The sequence below is a fragment of the Homo sapiens genome, chromosome 12 (assembly GCF_000001405.40).
Source record: "Homo sapiens chromosome 12, GRCh38.p14 Primary Assembly".
NCBI classification, from domain to species: Eukaryota; Metazoa; Chordata; class Mammalia; order Primates; family Hominidae; genus Homo; species Homo sapiens.
The window spans coordinates 109,924,920-109,949,522 of NC_000012.12; the positions used below are offsets into that span (position 1 = coordinate 109,924,920).

Genomic DNA, 24,603 nt, shown 5'->3' on the forward strand with positions numbered 1-24,603 from the left:
CTTACAGGACTAAGCCAGGCCAAGAGGCCAGGGCTAGGTGAATGGGATTCTGAAGGGAAGGGCAGTGGAGAGCCAGGCCCAAGGGGGCCTGTGGGATGATGCAAAGGAGGGGGAAGATGAGCCCCAAGAAGGGAAGGTGGGGGTTGGGTGAGAAGAGAGACTTTAGAGAAGGAGACATGGTCTTTGGTGAGAAGCCTCCTTTGGGAGACAAATGAGGCTGAGAAGTTCTGAGCAGGTTTGAGTGGTTTGAGGAACTGGAGATATAGCAGCTGGGGAGCTGTGAGCCCAGCAGGGGCCTGGGTGTGGGGCAGGACGGACGGTGGGGCAGGTGGGAGGATGAGGCGAGGGTCCAGGCCAGCCTCTTCTCATCTCCAGCACCCCTCCCTCCAGGACTCGGTGGGAAGTTGACACACATACTTTGAACACAGCTGGAACCACCGGGCCTGGACTGGAGTTCTGGCTCCTGGTTCCATGGCTGGCTAGCAGACGCTGGGACCCCCAGAGTCCATAGACCACAGGGACCTGTTTCTGGGCAACCTCACGCGCCCGGCCTGCTGGACAGCGAGCAGCTCCTCAGATGGTCGCCGAGTGCACTTCTGCCCTATCAGCTTCAGGGGATAGAGACTGCTGCGGTCACAGTGTTGTGAGCAAGGGGACAGGCGCTCAGACAGTCCTTCCAGTCAGCCATTCCACAAACGCTAGAGAGGTCCAGGCGCCAGGGACTCAGCCCCCTGCTCGAGGGCCTCTAGGCTGTGAGGGCAGCAACTGTCACGGCTGTGAAAGTTATCTGTTTACATAGCCTGTTGCCCACCTGCCCCCCCATATCTAGACTCATGGGGAGGAGCCTTTGAGGCGCTGCAGTGCAGCCAGCCCAGCAGTGCCAGCTCCACGTGGAGCCCACCTTCCCTGACTCCATTAGTTTTTTTTTTTGAACCAAAGTCTCCCTCTGTCGCCCAGGCTGGAGTGCGGTGGCGCGATCTCAGCTCACTGAAACCTCTGCCTCCCAGGTTCAAGCGATTCTCCTGCCTAAGCCTTGCGAGTAGCTGGGATTACAGGAGCCTGCCACCACACCTGGCTAATTTTTGTATTTTTAGTAGAGACAGGGTTTCACCATGTTGGCCAGGCCGGTCTCAAACTTCTGACCTCAGGTAATCCACCCGCCTGGGCCTCCCAAAGTGCTAGGATTACAGGCATGAGCCACCGCGCCCGGCCCCGACTCCATTGTTGATGGTAGTGGCTGCTGCCATTATGCCAGCTGCAGCAGGGAAGCACAGCTGGGGCTGCACACTCCATGGAGCCACTAGGAGCCTTACCCCTTCTGGGTTGGGATGGGAGCTCTCAGTGCCTCTGCAGCCACCAAAACTGCAGCTGCAGACCCAGGCCTCCCGCTCCAGGAGGGTGGGGCTACTGCCGCCCAAACTGCAGTTGTGGATTTGAGCCTCCTTGTGCTCTTGGGTTCTTGGGGGATCCAGGAAGAGGCAGGATCTGCCCTCCTGGGTACAGCTGCAGCCACTGGACCTATGACTGCAGACCTGAGCCTCCCGCTCCATGAAGCAGGCAGGAGCTGGGGACAATCGGGAACCCTTCCTCTTCTCAGTTGGTGGGGCGGGAGCTCCCGGGTGCAGCTGTGGCTGCCCTCCCAGGTGCAGGACCTGGGTGTCTCTGCAGCCTGCATCCTCGGGTGCCCCAGAAAGGACCCCCCAGTCTCTGCAGGCTCAGGGGTGTCTGTTCCCACTGCCTGGCCTCTCTCAGCTCCCAGCACCCTCTCCCATCTCAGAGCAGGGTTGGGGCCAAGCCCTGGGGCCATGAATGGCAGCAGGAGGCAGACAGTCCTGGGTGGGAGTGGGCAGGGTCCCCAGTAAGGCCTCACCTACAGGCCAGGGGGGGCCTGAAGGCTGGGGGCCAGGCTGCCAGTCCTGCAGACCTGAGTGGGGACTTGTGGTACCTCTTACGGGCCTGCCCATGGCCACCCATGGACCAGTCGGCAGGCACTTCCTCCCCCTGTGGTCCATAAAAGCCCTGGGCTCAGCCAGAGCAGACCAGAGGATGGAGAGGGCGGAGAGATGATGACGGGACAACCAGCTGCAGAGAGGAGTGCTCTCTCTGATGACAGCTGCAGATGATGGGACGACTCCTCTACTACTGCAGAGAGGAGTAGTACCCTTTCCCCTGAGAGCTGCAGAGACAACCTGCTGGCAGAGAGGAGCTACCCTCTCTACTGAGAGCTTCAGAGACCTGCAGAGACGTCCGAATGACTTGCCTGTGGAGAGGAGCCACCCTCTCCAGGGCCTCCTCTCTGCTGACAGCTGAACACTTGACGGGACGACCTGCCTACAGAGAGGAGCTGTTCTAACACTAAATAAAAATCTTTGGCCAGGCATGGTGGCTCACGCCTGTAATCCCAGCACTTTGGGAGGCTGAGGTGGGTAGATCACGAGGTCAGGAGATCGAGACCAGCCTGACCAACATGGTGAAACCCCGTCTCTACTAAAAACACAAAAATTAGCTGGGCATGGTGGCACGTGCCTGTAATCCCAGCTACTCAGGAGGCTGAGGCAGGAGAATCGCTTGAACCCAGGAGGTGGAGGTTGCAGTGAGCCGAGATTGCACCGCTGCACTCCAGCCTGGGCAACAGAGCAAGACTCTGTCTAAAAAAAAAAAAAAAAAAAGAAAAAAAAAGTCTTCACCCTCCACTTGTCTGCGTACCTCATTCTTCCAGGATGCAGGACAACAAGAACTCAGGCAAAGGCACTGGCCAGATATTTCCAGCCAGAAAAATCGACACCCCAGAGATCCTGTAACATTGTGACTCCGCCGGAGGCTGGGAAGCGCACCCTGGTGGTGAAGAGGAGTAAGGAGCATGACAGCAACTGACACACTCTCTCCTTGGATGTGAGGCTCGGCCTCCTGGGCTGTAAACATCCTTATCTGAAAAATGGGAAGAAACCACTCACTTCATCTGGCTGTAGTGAGGATGAAATGAATGAACATGTGTCAAGAACTCAGCACAGGCCAGGCGTGGTGGCTCACGCCTGTAATCCTAGCACTTTGGGAGGCCGAGGCAGACAGATCATGAAGTCAGGAGTTGGAGACCAGCCTGGCCAACATAGTGAAACCCCGTCTCTACTAAAAAAAATACAAAAAAATTAGCTGGGCATGGTGGCACGCACCTGTAGTTCCAGCTACTCGGGAGACTGAGGCAGGAGAATTGCTTGAACCCGGGAGGTAGAGGTTGTGGTGAGCTGAGATCACGCTGCTACGGTCCAGCCTGTCTCAAAAAAGAAAAAAAAAAAGAACTCAGCACAGTGCCTGGCACAGAGGAAATGTCAGCTAAAATTATAATGATGACTTCACATGACTCTCCTACACTAAAACATGTTTAAAAGCAGAAGCCAAGGAGCTGTGTGGTGGGAAAGGCCTGGAAACGGTCTACAGCAGAGCTTCGCAGAGTGTGGTCCCTGGAACCTGTTAGAAGTGCCTACTCCTGGGCCCCACCCCAGAGCTGCTGAACCAGACTGTGGGGGCCCGGCATGGTGAGCCTGCCAGGGTTCCAGGAGGTCTGCTGCTGGCTCTTTTGAGCCTCCTTGCCTGAGGAGGTTGCTCTGGGTGTGAGCTGTGTGAGACACTGGTCCTAAGCCTGCACAGACGTCCCCCTGAACAAGCAGGATCACAGCGAGGACGTGGCATCTTTCTGACTTCTCACTTGGAAAAGTACCCGTGGTGCTCAGGCCCTACCCCACCCTTCTTCCATTTGGGAGTAGAGTCCCAAGTCACCTAACCAGAGGACAATCACTGGTGACCATGGGCAGCCCTGATGAACCCCCATGCAAATCTATACCAGCTCCCCCTAGGAACCTGCACAGGTGGCCTTTCTCTGAAAATAAAATAAGACCAGTGGTTTTAAGACACTGAGCTCATTCCAGGACCCCATCACCTGTTAGGAAGAAGGGAGGGCATCTGTGCTGGGCTGGCTTTCGCTGCATTAAAAAAATTAAACGTAGGGGCCAGGCACAGTGGCTCACGTCTGTAATCCCAGCAGTTTGGGAGGCCGAGGCGGGTGGATCACTTGAGGCCAGGAGTTCGCACCAGCCTGGGTAACATGGTGAAACCCCATATCTAAAAATACAAAAAATTAGCCAGGGGTGGTGGTGCATGCCTGTAATCCCAGCTACTTGGGAGGCTGAGGCACGAGAATCGCTTGAACCCAGGAGATGGAGGTTGCAGTGAGCTGAGATCACACCACTGCACTCCAGCCTGGGTGACAGAGTGAGATCCTCTCTCCAAAAGAAAAAAACATTAAACTTAGGGAATAAATATATTATGATAAGATGCATGGAACTAGTATCTTGATGCAGCGTTCAAAGAAAGCTATTTGCTCTGGGTGCCGTGGCTCACACCTGTAATCCCAGCACTTTGGGAGGCCGATGCGGGCAGATCACCTCAGGTTGGGAGTTCAAGACCAGCCTGAGCAACATGGTGAAACCCTGTCTCTACTAAAAATACAAAATTAACCGGGTGGGGTGGTGCATGCCTGTAATCCCAGCTACTTCTGAGGCTGAGGTAGGAGAATCACTTGAACCCGGGAGGCGGAGGTTGCGGTGAGCCGAGATCACGTCGAGCCGAGATCGCGTCATTGCACTCCAGCCCGGGCAACAAGAGTGAAACTCCATCTCAAAAAAAACAAAAAAACAAAACAAAACAAAACCTATTTGCTAAGCACAGAGGAAGAAAAAGATAGTCATTACTGTAAAACTGCAGAGCCCCAAAGCATATGAAACACTGCATCTCACTAATGATGGCGTTTTGGGAGAACTTCCTCAGACCTTTTACAGAGTATCTGGAAACATCAACTAATTGATGGGGAGCACAGCATTACCACAAAAACACTTGTAGAGCCTGTTTATTGCATAACTAGCAGGCACAAATTCCAAAACGATTTTACAACACTTAAAGGGCACAATAATTACAGGAATAGAATGTACAATAAAAAGTACAGAATAATGAGTGACAGGGATCAAACACGTTGGAATAAAAGGCATCTCAGTTTTCCTATGCAGCATTTTCTTTTCTAGGAACACGTTACCTTCAACCAGGACAAGGAAAGAAAGAAAACTATACTATTGGAAAGCTCATGGGTGCCATTGAGGACAAAAACAGGCGAGTTTTGCTCTTGGTTCTGCAACTGAATCACTTGAGAAGCCGTGCACAGCTCCCGAGTTGTGCGTTTAGAATTCTGATTACATGAAATGCTGTGTTTGATCTTTGGGCCCAATTCACTGTTCTTTGGCAAATAAGAACTATTTGCATTCCAAGGCAGATGACGATTTCTGTGAAAGGAGCTTAGAGGTACAGCTGTTTCCTTCTGTTCAGTCAAGTGCCAGTTTCATAAAGTGCACCTCTGCCCTATCAGCTTTGGGGGAAGGGTGGCATATGGGGAGGAAGGGATCATTGAGAATACAGGGTGAAAAAGAACGACGTTACTGAAGGTAGACATTGCTAGTGCAAGGTACGGAATCCATGTGCAAAAGGTGGCTGGAACAAATGTTCAGATAAGGTGCGATTTGCCAACAGGAGCAGAGAACTCTGACACCAGATCTCAGATGAGGCCAAGGAAATGCGCGGGGCACATACAGAGAGGACGACCTGCAGCCCTCCAATGGCCACGTCATTCCACCGGGGAACTTGTTTGGAGTTTTGGCACCGTGGGCTAACCGAGCACTCTTCTGACATATTCTTACAACTGGAAATGCTTTGTTGGTCCCCATGTTCCTTGACTTTCTCTAGGGCCATAAAGGCAACATCTTCTATTGCAGGTCCTCAAACATTCCAAGGAAAACACTGCTTCACCTCCTGCAGACAGCTCATTTCCCAGAAGCCTCTACAGAAGCCCGTCCTCCCTGGGACAGCAGGGGCAGGGGTTTGCAAGATAAAGGAGGGTCAGCTAAGGACATGAAGCCTGCAGAAAAGGCTATCAGATGGCGCCTGAACTTAAGGTGGGAGGCCCCCTTCTAGAAGGCATCCCGGGAGCATCCAACAGCAATGTGGCACTTAGGGCTGTGGGACAAACAAGTGGAAGAGTCTTTTGGAGACGTGGACCCTTTTCCCATGCTACTCACAGTGAAGCAAAATGCGACAAAAGCATCCACACACGGTGACTTAGTAAAGCAAGCACCGTCGGGGTGCTACTTTCATGACAGCATATGGTCAAGCTATAAAGGTGTGCATCGATCAGTCCTGTGAAAATAGAAGCTTAGTTATTAGCATGTATTGAGGCAACTTGTACTTTGATTCTTGTGTCTTCTTCACATGTGTGAATGACTGCTATGGGACAGAACATATGGTTAAAAACAGGAGCGACAGCAACATAACACACAGGGTTGGCCGGCTCCATTACGGGTAAGACTCAGAGGCTGCTCCAGGTGTGTCCGGGGAAGCCAGGCCCTCACACTGCACAGCTTACAGGGCCCTGGGGTGGGGGCTGTGAGCTGGCAGCCTAGAGGACACAGCTCACCTGCACATGGTCTCTGAAAGTGTTCAAATTGGTTGCCAACATTTATAAATGGAGAGATGGCACCAAAAAACATCTAGGTTTCTTGTCTCTTGAAAAATCAAAGCTGTGGCCACCCTAGGCCCACTTTTCCACATGGCAACAGGCGTGGAGCTGGGGGCTACTGCCCCTACTGTGTAGGCGGTGGGCTCCCCATAGTCTCCTCTGCCCTGCTGCCGTGTACCTGGCTCCCTTCACTCATCCACATCACCGGCCCTAGGCCAGGGTCTGAACCACACACACAGAATGGCTGCAGTAAGCAGGAACGGGAAGAGCTTTCACATTCAGAACAAGAAGGGGCTTTTGAGTAACTAAAAAACAATCTGAGCATGTTCCAGCACTTCAACCTTACTCTTTCAGAGCTTTGGGGTAGCAGGCAGCCAGCTAGAGCACACTCTCTAAGGAACTCTTGAAAGTTGATGTCTAATTTTTAAGTACTCATGAGGTGATGGAGGAGAAACTAACTCAGATGACTGCGATACGATACATCTTTCCTTATAAGAAGTCCTTAAAGATGATGAAAAATGTGAAGCAACTCATGTGAGAAAGCTGTAAGTGGTCAGAGAAGCAAGCTGACTTTTGGATGAAGGGTACAACACAGTGTCAGGGAGTAGGTGATTTCTTTTCCCTATAGTTCATGGTAGTGATACCTAAATGGGTGGCACAAAATGAGTTCTGGCTTGTTAGACTGATGCTTCTCTTTGCTGCAGGTTTTGAACAAACTGTCTGGCTTACAGGGGTGAGGGAGAGCACCTGACAATGGGTGGTGATGTGCGTGGAGCTCCTACCCTGAACATGGCTTCATGAGATGTCCTGTGGTGGGTCAATGCTTTATCTCATTCCATGGAGCCTTCAAGATGACAAGAAAACATCAAGAGATAGGAGCTTGAGATAACAACATTAAATAACAGAACATGTAACAGGGTAAAACACTGAGAAGAAATGAACCAATTCATTGTTTCCTCCCAAGAGAGACTGTGACACTAGTTTTAAAAAGCGGCAAAGTCCTTTCTCTACATACATGCTTGGAGATACCCCAAACTTAGAGATTATGAAGTAGGCCAGGAAATTCACTTATTGCACGATGCTTGGCAGGGAACAAATGACGCTGATTTTTTCTTTTTTAACTGAACTCTCTCAAGAAAATGTTTTATGAAAAATTTCATTTATAGTTTCAGCCATAGGCAGGGAGTTTTAAGGGATGGAAAAGTTTTCACAAACTTTAGACAATGAAACTATACTTTTGGATGTATGTGATCAACTCAACAGTTGTTGACAACACAACCGAACATCAGAAACTAAACCAGCAAATAGGCACAAAATAAGGCAAGTGGGTTAAATAGTTGAAAATTGGTTAGAAAACATGCAAAAATAATACTGAGTTTTCTTTTAAAAAGTTTTAAACCGTCATTAAATGTTTCTTTTTGTAGAAATCTGAAGAGTTCTGCGTCTGAATTTGAAATTGGACTTTATAAAGCCTAGAAAACAGAGGAGGCGGTGCCCTGCCCTTGTCAGTTGTTGTTCTCTTTGGTGGTGATGGTAACCAGCTGCTTGGCAGCCTTGGCGATGTCGTACGCACACTGGATGACCTGCTGCGTGACCAGCTGAACGTCTGTGGGTGAGCCGGGGTCCCCTGGGAGGGTCTTCTTGCACTCTGACTGCAGTCGGTAGGCACTGGACGTCAGTAAACGAAGGGAAGTCCTCACCATATCAGACTTGGGTTTCTAAAAGGAAAAAGACAGCCGTTTACCCTGAACTGCAGGGCAGACATCCAAAAGCAGGGGACAAACATTCTTCTAAAGCAAACCAAGCTGCTCCCCAGAGTGAAAGGCGGTTTGGTCCTGCCCTTTCTCAAAGGGGTGCTTCACACACTCCAAGCTTTGCAGCCCACAGCGTAAGAGATGCTGAAATATTCTGATTCAAAGGTCAAAGTGCATGCAGGGTAATTTTAGTAGTATGTGGTATTTTGAAGTAGTTTTTGAAAAATATTAATCCATGTGGGTAAAATATTCCAGAAAATCCTATAAATTTTAAAATGTGCCTTTTAGCACGACTTGTATATCCTTGTCTTATTAAATCAACATTCATGCAGAACAAAAATATTTCAAAGCTCTATACGACTGCATATTTTATTTTATTTTACTTTTTTTTGAGACTTGAGTTTCACTCTTGTTGCCCAGGCTGGAGCGCAATGGCACGATCTTGACTCACTGCAACCTCCGCCTCCTGGGTTCAAGCGATTCTCCTGCTTCAGCCTCCTGAGTAGCTGGGATTACAGGCATGCACCACCACGCCTGACTAATTTTGTATTTTTAGTAGAGACAGGGTCTCTCCATGTTGGTCAGGCTGGCCTCGAACTCCCGACCTCAGGTGATCTGCCTGTCTCGGCCTCCCAAAGTGCTGGGGTTACAGGCGTGAGCCACCACACCCGGCCTCGACTGCATATTTTAAAACTGCATGTGCTACAAAAAAGCTAATGTAATATATAGGTCATAAAGAAATTTCTTGCTGTTCATTTAAAAGGATTTAAACCAAGTGAGTAGGAAGTGACTTACTTTGGGGAATAATGCTGCCATTTCTGTAACAGCTACGTGTATCCTCTCTGAGCAGGGAATATAACTGCAAGAATATTGAAGAAGTTATTCAATGACAGTAAAAATGATTCGGAGGCAAAGAGGACTCAAGTGCTAGAACAGATTCTGTTTACATTCCCTTCATGAAGGGGCTAGGGCTGCAGTCAGCCGTGCATCCCACACCACCAGAGGGCACATGGTTATAAAGCAGGACTCTCATTGCTTCCTAAAAGTTCAATCTGATGAAAAGTCTCCAGGTATGAAATATGGCAACATACACTCTTGGTCAGGTGAGGCCACACAACAGTACAGAAACATAATTCACCCCTCCTCACGTCAGTCATTTACTTCTCATGTGTTTCATCGTCCCAATTTCTAGAAAGAGAAAGGATTTCCATGCAAAAGGCCACAGAAGTGAAAAATAAAGGACTGAAAAAATTCCTTAAAATTAGAATTGGAGTCTCTCAAGTAGCTGGAACTTCAGGCATGCACCGCCATGCCTGGCTGATTTTTAAATATTTTTTTGTAGAGGAGTCCCACTATGTCGCCCAGCCTTGTGTTGAACTCCTGGATTCAAGTGAATCTCTTGCCTCAGCCTCCAAAGTGCTGGGGTTACAGGTGTGAGCCACGGTGTCCAGCCCTTTCCCCATTTTTTAAACCATGAAGTTGGCTTCTGAATAGATTGTCATAAGCAACTTATGCACTTCACCTTTGTAACAAGTCTAGTTTCAAAACTATTATAATTAAAACTGTCGGCCGGGCGCAGTGGCTCACGCCTGTAATCCCAGCACTTTGGGAGGCCAAAGCGGGCGGATCACCTGAGGTCAGGAGTTTGAGACCAGCCTGAACGACATGGTGAAATCCCGTCTCTACTAAAAATACAAAAAAATTAGCTGGGCATTGTGGCGCATGCCTGTAATCCCAGCTACTCAGGAGGCTGAAGCAGGAGAATCGCTTGAACCCGGGAGGCAGAGGTTGCAGTGAGCCAAGATTGTGCCACTGCACTCCAGCCTAGGGGATAAAAGCGAGATTCCGTCTAAAAAAAAAAAAAGACTGCCTACATTTTAAATTAAACCATTACATTTCAAGAAAATGGTTTATAGTATCCAAAAATGCCTTCATTGGAAATCCTGACTTCTACCTTTGTGAGCAATTAGAATCACAAACCATTTAATAACAAAAATTCCAACATATATGGAGTTATTTAACTTGTAAATATGAAGGGGCAACAACCTATCTGGTCACACAGATTTCAGAAAGAGAAAAAAGCAATGTCCACAGCCGTCACATGTATCATGCATACTAATAAACTGTGTGTCTGTTAATATCACAGTGACTGAGAACCACACTGAAGTTTTTTTTTTGAGATGGAGTCTCGCTCTGTCGCTCAGGCTGGAGTGCAGTGGTGCAATCTCGGCTCACTGCAACCTCCGCCTCCTGGCTTCTCCGCCTCCCGGCTTCAAGCAATTCTCCTGCCTCAGCCTCTCGAGTAGCTGGGATTACAGGTTTGCACCACCACACCCGGCTAATTTTTGTATTTTTAGTAGAGATGGGGTTTCACCATGTTGGTCAGGCTGGTCTTGAACTCCTGACTGATCCACCCGCCTTGGCCTCCCAAAGTGTTGGGATTACAGGCGTGAGCCACCGCGCCCAGCCAGTGAAGAGTTTTATATTTTGTTGTTTATGGTTTCATTTTTGAGAAATACGATTCACCCTTTCCTCCTGCTACACAGAGAAGGAATCTTTCCTAAGGCCATCTCTCAAAAGCTCACTCATTATGAACTATTTGGGGAAGTCCTCCACACGATAGAAAAGCGAGCACACCCGGATTAATGAGGAAGCCCTCCTCCTCTAACAGGAGTCCATATTCACAACTTCACATTGGTATCTTTCCTCAAAAAGGTTTTCGTGCATAATATGTCATAATCCCTGAATTGTATGTGTGCCTGTGTGAGGGCAGGAGTGAGGCTGGAGGCCCAGGAGACAAGACCAGACTTCAGGAAGGTCAGGGGCTGGGGTTGCTTACATGGATCAAGAGGAGAAAACAAGAGAAAAAGGCATGGGTTTAATTCGTACAATTCAAGATGATAAATAAAAGCATCTTGAATTTTAATATAGGATTGAACAATTTATGAAATATAAATTCTCTAGACCAATTATGGTTTTAAACCAAAAGAATGAGCTAATGATTAAAATCTCTGCATCATTCTCTCATGGTCTTAAAAAAAAAAAAAAGGAAATCAGATCATTATATGTGTTGTTGAATGGATTTGTAAATTTTAAACAAAGAAAGAAAAAAAAAAGAAATTTCCCAAATTGTACCAAGCACCATATTGCATCTTTGAAGTAGAAATGGCCTCAGGGCAGATATTTGTATTTTTGACAAAGACAGCAATATAAGGCAAGCACATTTTAGTTTGAAATACAAGCACAGCACTTCTGAACTAGAGGAAATGAAAAGCGAAGCACATTGACAAATGGGGTCACGGTGCTCGGGAAGAAAGTGTTATTGAATCATGATTACATTAAACGCTGTCAAAAACTTTGGCCAAGCACGGTGGCTCACGCCTGTAATCTCAGCACTTTGAGAGGCTGAGGCGGGTAGATCACTTGAGATCAGGAGTTCGAGACCAGCCTGGCCAACATGGTGAAACTCTGTCTCTACTAAAAATACAAAAAAATTAGCTGGGCATGGTGGCATGCACCTGTAATCCCAGCTACTTGGGAAGCTGAGGCAGGAGGATCGCTTGAGCCAAGGAGGCGGAAGTTGCAGTGAGCAAGATCGTGCCACTGCTCTCCAGCCTGGGTGACAGAGCAAGACTCTGTCTCAAAAAAAAAAAAAAAAGCTCTGTACTTTGGAAAGCCATGGGACACTTTGCTTTCTGTAATCAAATATGAAGTCACTCACTGCCAAGACTATGGTCCTGAGCAAAGTGAGTGTGCTTGTAACCCGTGGGGTCCCAAAGGCATGGTATGAAGAGAATGCCTGGGAAAGGAGGGAGGAGGAAGCCAAATAATTAGACAGTTTTTATCGAAGGAGGCTTAAAAGTTATGCATGTTTCTCTTTTTCTCTGAGGAGCTTCCAGCAGTCCCTCCAGAAGACTAACTCTTATCTTTCAATAAACATGGATTATTCCCTTCTTTCCTAGTGGGAAATAAGGACACTGGGAGATGTGTGAGCCATATAAAAAAGGGTACAGAAAAGGGAGGTTGGCCCAGTAGTGCCAGGACTACAAAAGGGAATACAAAGGCCCAGATGCATGTTTGTGTGGAAGAAGAAAACAGAGAGAAGAGTAAACAGCACAGCATCCCTTGAATACTTTTTGCTCGTGCAAGGCGTGAAGAAAGTTCTTCACTGAAGTCCTAAACTTTGCTGACCTAATGAAAAGAATGAGATTTTTCTTGGGTTTGACTGAACTCTGCTGGTTTAGCTAATGTTTTATGAGTGTCTACATCCTGCCAACCATGGGAAGCTAGGATGTTACCCCAAGCAGTTCGCAACTCACCGGAAGTTCTCAGAGAATTCACTCTCAAAGAACAAAAGGCTAAGTTGGAGCAAGAGCCAGTCCCTTCCTCAGGGTAAGAATTAACCACAGGACGTGCTTCTAGTCAGAGTAAACAGCCTCCCCTCTCAAGTGCAGAGATGGACTTGGGTGATGATGAGATCAACTTTATTTATTTTGAGACAGTTTCGCTATTGTTGCCCAGGCTGGAGTGCAGTGGCATGATCTTGGCTCGCTGCAACCTCCGCCTCCAGGGTTCCAGAAATTCTCCTGCCTCAGCCTTCTGAATAGCTGGGACTACAGGCACATGCCACCATGCTCAGCTAATTTTTGTGTTTTTCATAGACACAGGGTTTCACCATATTGGTCAGACTGGTCTCGAACTCCTGACCTCAGGTGATCCACCTGCTTCGGCCTCCCAAAGTGCCGGGATTACAGGTGTGAGCCACTGTGCCCAGCCCAGGATACCTTTTGTGTCAGCGGCCTTGTCCTTAGCCAGGCCAGGGTATAGCCATGGCCAGAAGCGAGGTGTAAGGTAGCCCCTGTCCCCCTCCTAGAACTAGCATTGTCACCACCCTAACTATGCCGCAATCCTGTTTCTAGAGGCATTTATTTTCGGAGCTTCGTAACAAGATGAAAAAAAAGAAAATACCATGTAAATCAAACAAGACAAAGCAAACCAAAACTGACATTGTTCTTAAGCCTGTTATGTAGACTTGTTTTCAATGACCTTGAAGTCAGCATGCTGGGAATAGCTGCCATTAGGAACATGGGCATCATCCCTTTCTGGGCGCATAACTCATGCTCTCCCAAAGCAGGGTCTTCAATCCTGCTTACCTGTCATGTTTATTTTCTTGGGCTGCTCTTAAGAGCTCCTGTATGTTTTTGGTGATCTGTTCAGTCTTCCTGATGACATCTTCGGTGCTAGGGAGAGTGGGGCTTGGGGCCACATGGGGTTCTGCTGTGTCTGGTACCAAGCCATCCCCTGGCCACACCATACTTCTTTGCCGTCCCTTTCGGCTTGACCTGTGAACATTAAAGATGCAGTTAAATACAGCAGGTGCTTATCAGCTGCCCCTCTGCTTCTAGGAGCCACTTTGTATGCACTGGCTAAATGCATGAGCAGGCTGGTCTCGTCATTTCCTTTATCCTGTCTAGCAGGAGACTCATGGTAAGGCTCTAAAATCGGCTATTTCACTCTACCATAGGGCTGGAAGTGTTGACTCTCACAGGAAGGGTGAAGGAGGGGAAAAGGGAGGGAAATACCTGGAGCGGGGAGGGTGTTTGTTTATAAAGCCATCCTCAGGTGGGCCAACTCCTTGGGTACAAATGCAGAATGTAACCTAATGTTGTCTTCATGATGAAGTGGGGTAATGACTTTAAACACACTACAGACAGCTAGAGACACATAACATGCTGGTACAAAGAAAAAGGCCTTTCGGCAACAATGTGAGATGACAAGACATGTAAACTACGAGCGTATGCTTGAATACTTTAAGACTTTATGAGTCTGAAAATAGAGAAAAGGGGTGTGTGTGGTGAACTGCTTCTGCTGGCCCAGGCCTGCCAGGTCTCTGGCCCTGGGGAGCCCCTCCCCTGGCACGCTCGTCCTGTGCATGTACCCCATGCCATCTGGCTCCATGTCGTTGGGAGTGTTGTCGTAGTCACTCTCAGGTGTGCTGTTCTGCTTCTCCAGCCTGGATGCCTACAAGAAAGAAGAGGGACCCTCATGAGTTTGTAACATGAGACTCTTCTCAGGAGTCTTCCCCAGGAATTGTTACCTGTTAGGCTACTGGCCTTCACATCCCAAATCTCATTTGGGACAGGGGACAACTCTCTAGTGAAAATTTAGTAAAAGATGAATATTGGATCCAGAAATGGCCTCTTTCCTTCTTTGCACCATTTTCTTCTTAGCTCAGTGGCCACTTCCTAATCAGATCCTTAGTACAAACTAACAGACATGCAAGGCAACATATCCTCATTTAGTTCTCAAATTTATAACATAATGAGATGCAGTTAAAATACAGGCAGGGTGTGGTGGCTCACACCTGTAATCCCTGTATTTTGGGAGGCTGAGGCAGGACGATTGCTTAAGGCTAGGAGTTTGAGACCAGCCTGGGCAACATTTAAAAAATAAATAAAATAAATAAATAAATAAATAAATAAATAAATAAATAAATAAATAAATCAGCCAGGCATGGTAGCATGAACCTGTAGTCCCAGCTCCTCAGGAGGCTGAGGGAGGACTGCTTGAGCCCAGGAGTTCAAGGTTGCATTGAGCCATGGTCGCACCACTGTACTCCAGCCTGGGAAACAGAGTAAGATAAGACCCTGTCTCAGAAACAAACAAACAAAAAAACATGCCAGCACTTATATGACCACAGACCTTCAGCACTGGAAGCCACCTTCAGATTATCTCATTGAGCCCCATATGAGAAAATGAAGGGCCAAAAAAGCTGGGTGGCCCACCAAAGGCCACAAAGTCTGCAGAAAAACAGGACCAAGCACCAGGTCTCCTGCCTCCTGCTACCTCCAATATTTCATGCCTGGGCTCAAATCTACCCCTTAAAATGTAAAGATTTGGTGCAACTGTGGTGATCAAAAATGGGATACAGATTCAAAAGAGGAATCCTAAAAATGTTTTGAACAAATGGCAGCACTGCTAAACACACGATCTTCTAGGGTGACGAAATTTGAAGGGGACTTTATTCCTTCGAAGGGGACTATGTTCTGAGTATTTCATGAACATTATTTTCCCTATTTATTTCACCCATAATGCTTGAGAACTTCTCTGGAACAGAGATCAGTGGAGGCTAATTTAAAACCTAAACCACTTACCTTATAAAATATAAGTGTGAGCTATTTCTAGCTTTACTCCTTGAATTTCATCCAAGTTAATCAAAACATGGGACTAAGGAGTTTTATTGATGCTGCAATAAAATGTGGCTAAGGACACAGATGTAAACTAAGAGCTTTGTTTAAACATATGGAAACCCTGTAGCTTCATCCAAAAGAGTGGCTACTTTTGAGTAAGTTGGTTTAAGAAGGTCTACATGGCCAGGTGCGGTGGCTCACACCCATAATCCCAGCATGTTGGGAGGCAGAGGTGGGCAGATCACTTGAGGTCAGGAATTTGAGGCCAGCCTAGGCAACATGGTGAAACGTCATCGCTACTAAAAGTACAAAAATTAGCTGGGTGTGGTAGTGCACACCTGCAGTTCAGCTACTCGGGAGGCTGAGGTGAGATGATCTCTTGAGCCTAGGAGGCGGAGGTTGCAGTGAGATGAGATCGTACTACTGCACTCCAGCCTGGGTGACAGAGCTAGACCCTAACTCAAAAAACAAAACAAAACAAAACAAAACAAAACCAAAAAGAAAAAAAAAAAAAAACCCCACAAAACTCTACATAAAGCCTGTCACTCCTTACTGATAACACCTGGTGGGTACAGGCAAGGCAGCCGGACCCACGTGGAGAAGCCCCCCTTATTCACACCACACTTTGTTTGCTATCCCCATACACTCTTCTGCTCCCAGGGCGCATGTTCTCTCCTCTGTCGGCTGAGGTCTTCCATCCACACCTCCACGCATGCTGTTTAGTTCCCAGCTGCTCAAATACAAGACACTTGCTGTGGGCTCCTAAAATTCACTATGAACTCGTGCATCCTGAAGCCACTCAAATCCATCTGGCAAATGATTAAACGTTAGCTTGGAGCCATATGGGGAGTCTGTAAAGCTAATTTCTGTAGAATCGACAACTTTGATGATCCCTTTGTTTATATCTCCTATCAATAAGTAGTTCTGCTTCTCTTGCTGCCTTGTTTTGATCTGGCTTTATGAACAGTCAGTGAGTTTGGCTGCTAGAAGTTTATAGCAGGAAGATCATGGGCAAGCACTGTGGTCTTCCAGAGATGAGCTTAGAAAATGAAAAAGAAAGAAGAAAAACCCAAAACCCTTCTTATCTTTCACAGGGAATGCCTAACTTTTTTCTTTTTTTTTTTTGAGATTGAGTTTCACTCTTGTTGCCTGTGGAGTGCAATGGCATAAGCTAGGCTCACTGCAACCTCCGCCTCCCAGGTTCAAGCAATTCTCCTGCCTCGGCCCCCTGAGTAGCTGGGATTACAGGCATGCACCACCATACCGAGCTAATTTTGTATTTTTAGTAGAGATGGGGTTTCACTATGTTGGTTAGGCTGGTCTCAAACTCCTGACCTCAGGTGATTTTCCCGCCTCAGCCTCCAAAAGTGCTGAGATTATAGGTGTGAGCCACCGCACCCTGCCAATTTTTTTTCTTTTTTTTTTTTGAGACAGGGTCTCACTCTGTCGCCTAGGCTAAGTGCAGTGGTACAATCTCGGCTCACTGCAGCCTCGACCTCCCAGACTCAAGCGATTCTCCCACCTCAGCTTCCTGAGCAGCTGGGACCACAGGCCCGTGCCACCACGCTTGGCTAATTTTGTACTTTTTTGTGGAGACAAGGTCTCACTATGTTGCCCAGCCTGGTCTTGAACTCCTGAGCTCAAGTGATCCTCCAACTTTGGCCTCCCAAAGTGCTGGGATTATAGGTGTTAGCCACCACACCTGGCCCCAACTAACTTTTAAGTTTTATTTTGGTTTTTATATATACACCCACACAGAGGTGTGTGTGTGTATACATATACACATATATGAATAGATAAAAACTTGCATTTACGTAATTATACTGAAAAATTTGCCCAGAGCTGCTCCAGTGGAAAACAAACTAGAAACAGAATTAAACCCAGAAAATTCTACATTTTTATAATGAATCTTTTTTATTTATTTATCTGGAGACAGAGTCTTGCTCTGTCGCCCAGGCTGGAGTGCAGTGGTGCAATCCTGGATCACTGTAACTTCTGCCTCGGCCTCCCAGGTTCAAGTGATTCTCCTGCCTAAGCCTCCCAAGTAGCTGGGACTACAGGCACCCACCGCCACACCTGGCTAATTTTTTGTATTTTAATAGAGACAGGGTTTCACTGTGTTGCTCAGGATGGTCTCAAACTACCGAGCTCAGGCAATCTACCTGCCTCGGCTTCCCAAAGTGCTAGGATTAGAGGCGTGAGCCACCATGTCTGGCCTTTATAATGAATCTTTTTGCCTTCCCTGATGAAAATGTGATAAATCGCAAATCAAATGCATTACCCTCAATGATGAAAAGTACCAAGTTTCATTTAAACATTTTAGAAGAGTAGTGACTCATATACCTAATAAATGCATTTGGTAAATGTTTTTTCAAGTATGGAAAACAACATATAGCAGCAACCACCCAGGAAATCAGTTACTTACACGTTAGTTAAGTCCTTCCATCGTTGTCAACAAAAGCATATGTACAGAATTTCAGTGTAGCCAGCATTTAATTGTATCAAAAATATTATAAGCATGCAGAGCCAAAAGCTATTGGTTAAGAGTGCTGCTCTCTCAAAGCTGTTAATAGGAAGGTTACCTTATAGCTGGTGCTGGTTCAATGTATTTAATAGGTTTGCAGTTTTCTCTGAATAAAGACACGCCATAAAAATCTAAACTCATGATGAAGCTGTCAGGAACAATCAGGGTGATCAGTTTAAATGATTTTTGTACAAAACTCTGTCTCAGCAAGCAGTCCTTGCAATGATTTTTAAGGCTACCATACAAATTAAAAAACAAAAATTTCACAGTAGACAAAAGAGGTTTGACTTACAAAATTTCTAATGAGATATTTAATCACTGTCTAACTGTCCTTTAGTTGTATCTGGGCTATTTTAATGAAACATTACAGTTCAATTTCAGAACTGCTCAGGAGACTTTTTTTTTTTAAGACAATCTCACTCTGTCGCCCAGGCTGGAGTGCAGTGGTGCAATCTCGGCTTACTGCAACCTCCACTTCCCAGGTTCAAGGGATTCTTGATTCTCGTGCCTCAGCCTTCCAAGTATCTGGGATTACAGGCATGCGCCACCACCCGCCGCTAATTTTTGTATTTTTAGTAGAGACAGGTTTTGCCATGTTGGCCAGGCTGGTCTCAAATTCCTGGGCTCAAGTGATCCACCCACCTTGGCCTTCCAAAGTGCTGGGATTACAGGCATGAGCCACTGCACCCAGCCGAGACTTTAAGTACAATGTATCAAGAATTCTTTTTTTTTTTTTTTAGTACAGTAATTCCTTTTTTTTTTTTGAGACAGGGCCTCACTGTGTTGTCCAGGCTGGAGTGCAATGGCACAATCATGGCTCACTGCAGCCTCGATCTCTCATGGTGGGCTCAAGTGATCCTCCCATCTCAGCCTCCCAAGCACCTGGGACTACAGGTGCACATCAACACACCCGGATAATTTTTTATATTTTTTATAGAGATGGGATTTCGCCATGTTGCTGAGGCTGGTCTTGAACTCCTGGGCTCAAGCAATCCACCCGCCTAGGCCTCCCAAAGTGTGTGAGTCACTGCACTCGGCTGAGAATTCTTAATAGACTGAAAGTGAAGTGAAGAATTCCAAAAGGGTCAGGGCATGGTGGCGCATGCCTGTAGGCCCAGCTACTCAGAAGCCTGAAGTGGGAGGACTGCTTGAGCCCAGGAGTTTGAGGCTGCAGTACGCTATGACCATGCCTGTAAATAGCTATTGTACTACAGACTGGGCAACATGAGACTCTGTCTCTAAAAAATAAAAAATAAAAAAACGAATCCTGAAAGGGCCTTGGTAATCCATATGCCACTGGAACTAGGAAAGAAAGGCTCTCCATAATTCCTAGGTGTGGAGGGAATGGCAAAGGCCCAGTGCAAACCCCACCTTGCCTGTAAAGGTGGTCCCTTACCCACAGCCACCTTCCTCCTCTTACCTTACATTACCCTTCCATTAAAAAAGAGATGGAGCCAGAACTGGGACGTGGATTTCAAAGCCTATGCCCTTTCCACGGCTTTCCCAGGTTGTGGTCATGTACCACTCTTTATGCATGAAAGTATTTTTTAATTGACAGTGCCTTTGGGAGCAGGGGCTGTGCCAGCTAAGTCCTTAGGACCCTTTCATTGACTTACCCAAACGCTGTGTATGGAGGAGGTGCTTAATACTTACTGCCTGACTACTCTAAAAGAGGCTTACCTGAATCATGCACTGCTATTGAGACCATAAATTATACACCAGTAGGTGAGGTTTAACCAACCCGTACAAGTGAACAGCTTTAGGTTAACAGCTGCTTGCATAGCTCCAATGCCACAAGGTGTTACAATTCTGATTCAAGATGCAGGGACTTGTAAACCTTGGTTTGTCAGCACTTGTGGTGCTGACATAAAATGTGTCACAGGTTAAAAAAAAAAAAAAAGGCATGACATTTTAGTACTTCAGCGAGTCCACATACAGCAGTTTCAATCTGACAACTGTAGCCCTGAACAAATTGAACAAATTTGGCCTATTATAATATCTAACCAGCAGCCAGCTAATTTTCTCGTTGTTTAAAAAAACAGTTTGCTCAGAATAAATGCTGTAGGGTGATTTGCAAACTTTGTTAAATATGACGTGAACATGAGCAGTATGGGGTTAGAGAAAGGGAGGCGCCCTCGATGGGTGAGCGTGCATGTGGACGAGTGTGAGCCTGATGCACTGTGAGAAACCAGGAGGAAGTGCTGCCTCATGCAGGACGGAAGGGCAGTTAGCAGGGACAGGAGGGCCAGAGCCCAAGCACAAAGCGCCCAGGAGCACGGCCCCTCCTCCAGAGAGCAGACCATTCAGAATGTACTTAACCCTTCGGGCGCTTTCGTCCCTCGACCAGGAAAGTGTGGAGGGGAAGGAAGGCAGAGATGAAGAGGAGGTCACAAGTGCACTCCTCCCGATCTGGAATGGGAAAGAGAAACACACTCGGGAAAATACAAAACAAACCAAAAACCTACCACCTTGCCAGCTTCAGTAAAAGAATCCTGGAACACCACACATTATGTGACGTGAGTGCTGCAATCTCAGTGGCCACCAGTGACAGGACCCCAGAGATGCTTAAACCCTTGGTGAAACACCTCCTGGAAATTACTCTGAATTTAATAAGGCTGCTTTTCCATAAGGGAAATACCTAACATAATTTGTCAAACTTGTCAATAATTTTTTAATGGATACTATGAAATGCATATTTGTTTTTCAATCAGGACTGATGTGAAATGAGAAACTATAAAAATGATTCTAAGTTGCTATACACTATCAATCTAATTTTTAGTACAATTACAGTGCCTTCCTGATATATCTTTATATTCTAATTTTTTCTAAAATAAGAAAGTACACTGAAAAATAACAAAGTTGCTTTTCCTAAATTTTGTCTTCAGCTATACAAAAATAAGATTCTTAACTTAGGGTGGGCATGGTAGCTCACACCTGTAATCCTAGCACTTTGGGAGGCTGAGGCGGGCGGATTGCCTGAGCTCAGGAGTTTGAGACCAGCCTGGGCAACATGATGAAACCCCGTCTCTACTAAAACAAAAAAATTAGCCAGGCACAGGACCATGTGCCTGTAGTCCCAGCTACTCAGGAGGCTGAGGCAGGAGAACTGCTTGAACCCAGGAGGTAAAGGTTGCAGTGAGCTGAGATCACACCACTGCACTCCAGCCTGGGTGACAGAGCGAGACTCCATCTCAAAAAAAAAAGATTCTTAACTTAGTTCAGTGGCATTCCCATTACATCAAATGTATCAAATCAATTGCCTTAGAATGTTAAACCCAAATATCTTAAAAAGAATCTGAGATAACAGACTCCCAATTATAGTAAAACAATATTGTAATTTTACCACACTGAAAATTGACAAAATTAAACTAGGGTTTAATTCACGAAACCATGTCCTTGCTTTGCATCTACCTTGAGAATTTTTTTGGAAACTCCCATAAAATTTGACTGAAGAAATAATAAACTTTGACACTCAAAAAGACAAATACTACTCTCTGAAAAAGCATCCCATGAAAAAGTTTAAATGTAACATCTTGGCAAAACACATATTTTTATAATAAAGTAATCCAGAAGAAATATATTTGAAAACCTTATAACACAGTATGTATCCCAATGCAAAATAAGATTGTAAGAACCCTGCTGCAGAACACAATCTCTGGAATTCAGCGCTTCTAAGACTGATGTAGAGTATTACATTTCCTTTTCTGAGACAACAAAGCCACACTTCCCCCACCACGGTGGGAGGAGCAGGATGCAGAAGCGAACCTAGCAGGCACACTGAGCACACATGGAGAGGCTGCGGAAGCCTGGAGCCTTCCAGCCTTGCCTGGGTACCTGGGCCACAGACTCAAGGCCACCTGCTTGAGGAGGAGCTGAAAAGACGTCTTGGATTCTAAGGGCTCCAGTACTTAAAGGGGCACATCCCTGTCTAGCTCCAAGAAGGCAACACTTCCTTCTGAGAGTGAACTTTATGATTTATTTTTGTTTTTGGAAGTAGAGAAGGAAGGAAGCTTTACCAAAAAAAGTTCCAACACTGGCTGGTTGAGAAATAATCATGGATGTGGGGGAGAAAAAAGCAGCAGTTCGGGCAAGAGCCAGAATCCCCAACTTGGTTAGGAAACCATCAGCCCATGGCCCTGTGTGCTTGTGGGAATATCGCAAGCATCTGTGGACATGTTAATACAGCAAACACAATGGTAACTCTCTTAGTCCAATTTGGCAAAGCAGAGCTGTGGGGACCTGTAGGTTCAGAAGAGGGAACAGAGTAGACAGGCTGCATAGAGTGAACAGCAGAAGCGCCAGTGGTGTTACTTACGTGCGCGGGGAAGGGCTGGAGTCTCATCCTGCTCTCTTCGGGGCGGCTCGCTTCTCCCATTGGGAGATATGGTTTCTGACCTGATCCGGTCTCGTACATGGACATGGGCCTACTGCCCCGGGCAGACGGACGTCTCTTTAAGGAAGAGTGGTTGGAAGTGTCTGTGTACTCAGAACCAGTTTGCACCTGATATACATTGGTTGTGGCCTGTTTCCTGAGGTTCGAATTTTCACTCTGGAGTGTTTGAAGCTGAAAGAAATGTTTGGCAGTGGGACTGTGTTTTTTTACAGCAAGCAGAAAAAGCAAACACCAAGTAAATGAATACAACTACCAGTTTTAAACAATAAGGACAGTAACAGCTAGCCGGGCTGAAAGTAAAAAGCCAATACAAACAAGGACCCTTTCTTCTGGATTGGGTGAAACACAATCAACTCCCTTCATCACGTAAGCAAATTAAATAGCTTCATTTCTGAATGTGGAAAAGTTGTGGTTTGGACTTCCTCAAAACAAAATGTCTAACCACTTTAAAATTTGTCATGGTGGGGCTGGGAAATGTTTGCAGGCAAGCTGTACACTGGATTATTACTAAGGCTGTTTCAAGCAAGAGTTCGAGATCATTAAAACATCATTTAGGTAACTTGCTTTTCAAATGAGCCCTGAGCAATTTGTAAAGGCCAAAAATGACAGCAGACACCATGGAAGCAGCACAAAGATGACTAGGGTTGCTTTGCAAAGCAAGAAAGACAGAAGTTCAGCTTGTGAAAAATCAGATCGCCTATTGCTTTCCAAAAAGCCAACAAGAAAAATTATGATCAACAAGTTTTTATTACATAATACTCTTGATATTCCAAACAATTCAGCACTTTGTAAAAAAAAAAAGAAAAAAGAGAAAACCGGATCATGGTAAGTTTGCTATATTAACATATCACGAAGAAAACTGGAAACCTATTGATCTATGGAATTGACATCTTCGCATGGATGCTCCACGCAGCACGCTTGCTTCCGTCTGGTGAGTGATCATCTTTCGGCCAGGGCTGGAATATTTGGCCTTTCTCTCCTTTGGCTTTGTCACCCAAAAAACACGACCTCAGTGGTGTCAGCTTTGAACATGCTAATCTGCCTGGCACCACCCCATTTTAGAGACTGTCACTTGGAGGCCCTGAATGCTCCTTCCATTCCTCACATGCAGGCTGCTCCATGGTGCTGGATGGATTAGAGTTAAGGGGTCAGCAGGGAATCGTGTTACTCTTTGGCATCTGGCATTTTAAACACCATTCACCACGTCCATTCTGCGCAGGGTCCTTCCCTTCTGGTGCGCCTTCATCTTCCATGGACATTCTATAAGCTGGGTGTGGTGTGAGTTCAGCTGTCTACTCTTTGACAGAGATTGTAAAATCTGACCAAATTCCCCACCAGTGCCAAGGTTTAAGTCCACAAGCAACTGTTTGCACCAGAAGATCATTACTTTTTCAGTAGCAAACCCATTCAATGTTAGGAGTTACTTTCAATTTTTATTTAGAAAGCACCAATCTGTGAAAAATACACCAATAGTAGTTGCTCCTCTTCATTAATTAGCATCTTTTCCAAGCAACTGTTAAATGTGAAAGATCAGATACAAATCATGCTACTTTGTCAACTTTATGTATATTAAAAACTTTACCCAACTTTGAAATATAATCAATACATCTTTGCTAAATAAACAAATTCCATATACTTTATATTAATCATGCCAAACTGCTGTGAAAGTGTGACTTACTGCCTCTTCCACAAAAAGACCACTCATTCTGTTTCTCTGAAGAGCAAGCCATTACAGAATGATAGAATGCTTTTATATCACAAAGGCTGGCAGGGTATAGCTCATATCTGCAATTCCCTTTCCAGGGAAAGAACAGCTGCAAAGCAGCTGACAAAGCAGCCCTGAACATTTCTACATTCCAGGATACAGACAGGCATGAAGTGCCTGTTGAAACTATTCATTAGAGAACCCAGGGCCTAGAGTGAAATGGTCAAGGTTCAAGGACTGAGGTGTGTAACTGACACAGGTCCCTCAATGGGGCACTGGTGCATGTGATCACGTGTTTGTCTGTATAAAAAGCCTCTGTGGCAGTTATTTAGTTAAGGCCTTGAAATCTGAAACTTTATCCTAACACTTTTCATGCCTGGATTTTGTCTGAATGTGTTCTCATGAGCACAAGTTCTTGGTTTCAATTTTTAAAAATGTTAGTACTCTGTATTTAGAGAGATGTCTTCACATAAATTTTAATGAC

General features: G+C 46.1%; 1 protein-coding gene across 23 annotated transcripts in view, besides 5 other annotated features; it reads right to left on the reverse strand.

Moving 5' to 3' along the window:
- Positions 52-1,032: an enhancer, noted in NCBI's record as "H3K27ac-H3K4me1 hESC enhancer chr12:110362776-110363756 (GRCh37/hg19 assembly coordinates)". NCBI's record gives its function as "activates a minimal SCP1, AML or CMV promoter by ChIP-STARR-seq in primed H9 embryonic stem cells {active_cell/tissue: H9 hESC(primed)}" and the evidence as "EXISTENCE:reporter gene assay evidence [ECO:0000049][PMID:30033119]".
- Positions 1,033-2,012: an enhancer, noted in NCBI's record as "H3K27ac-H3K4me1 hESC enhancer chr12:110363757-110364736 (GRCh37/hg19 assembly coordinates)". NCBI's record gives its function as "activates a minimal SCP1, AML or CMV promoter by ChIP-STARR-seq in primed H9 embryonic stem cells {active_cell/tissue: H9 hESC(primed)}" and the evidence as "EXISTENCE:reporter gene assay evidence [ECO:0000049][PMID:30033119]".
- The window catches only part of GIT2 (GIT ArfGAP 2), a 70,361-nt gene continuing 50,642 nt past the window's right edge, over positions 4,885-24,603 (reverse strand). For 8 of the 23 annotated variants that reach the window (XM_047429924.1, XM_047429926.1, NM_001330153.2 and 5 more), the window contains 6 exons: positions 22,337-22,585; positions 20,341-20,430; positions 14,246-14,328; positions 13,461-13,649; positions 9,103-9,166; positions 4,885-8,271 (listed from right to left, as the gene is read on the reverse strand). In XM_047429924.1, the coding sequence (XP_047285880.1) occupies positions 8,059-8,271; positions 9,103-9,166; positions 13,461-13,649; positions 14,246-14,328; positions 20,341-20,430; positions 22,337-22,585 (888 nt within the window). In that variant the 3' untranslated portion in view covers positions 4,885-8,058. Of the gene's footprint in view, positions 8,272-9,102; positions 9,167-13,460; positions 13,650-14,245; positions 14,329-20,340; positions 20,431-22,336; positions 23,928-24,603 lie in introns of those variants that run through there. The other 15 variants (XM_047429925.1, XM_017020258.3, XM_047429923.1 and 12 more) reach the window with 3 other exon arrangements.
- Positions 7,709-8,908: an enhancer, noted in NCBI's record as "CDK7 strongly-dependent group 2 enhancer chr12:110370433-110371632 (GRCh37/hg19 assembly coordinates)". NCBI's record gives its function as "activates an origin of replication core promoter dependent on BRD2, BRD4, P300/CBP, MED14 and CDK7 cofactors, with strong dependence on CDK7, by STARR-seq in HCT116 cells {active_cell/tissue: HCT116}" and the evidence as "EXISTENCE:reporter gene assay evidence [ECO:0000049][PMID:35650434]".
- Positions 21,809-22,480: an enhancer, noted in NCBI's record as "H3K4me1 hESC enhancer chr12:110384533-110385204 (GRCh37/hg19 assembly coordinates)". NCBI's record gives its function as "activates a minimal SCP1, AML or CMV promoter by ChIP-STARR-seq in primed H9 embryonic stem cells {active_cell/tissue: H9 hESC(primed)}" and the evidence as "EXISTENCE:reporter gene assay evidence [ECO:0000049][PMID:30033119]".
- Positions 22,481-23,152: an enhancer, noted in NCBI's record as "H3K4me1 hESC enhancer chr12:110385205-110385876 (GRCh37/hg19 assembly coordinates)". NCBI's record gives its function as "activates a minimal SCP1, AML or CMV promoter by ChIP-STARR-seq in primed H9 embryonic stem cells {active_cell/tissue: H9 hESC(primed)}" and the evidence as "EXISTENCE:reporter gene assay evidence [ECO:0000049][PMID:30033119]".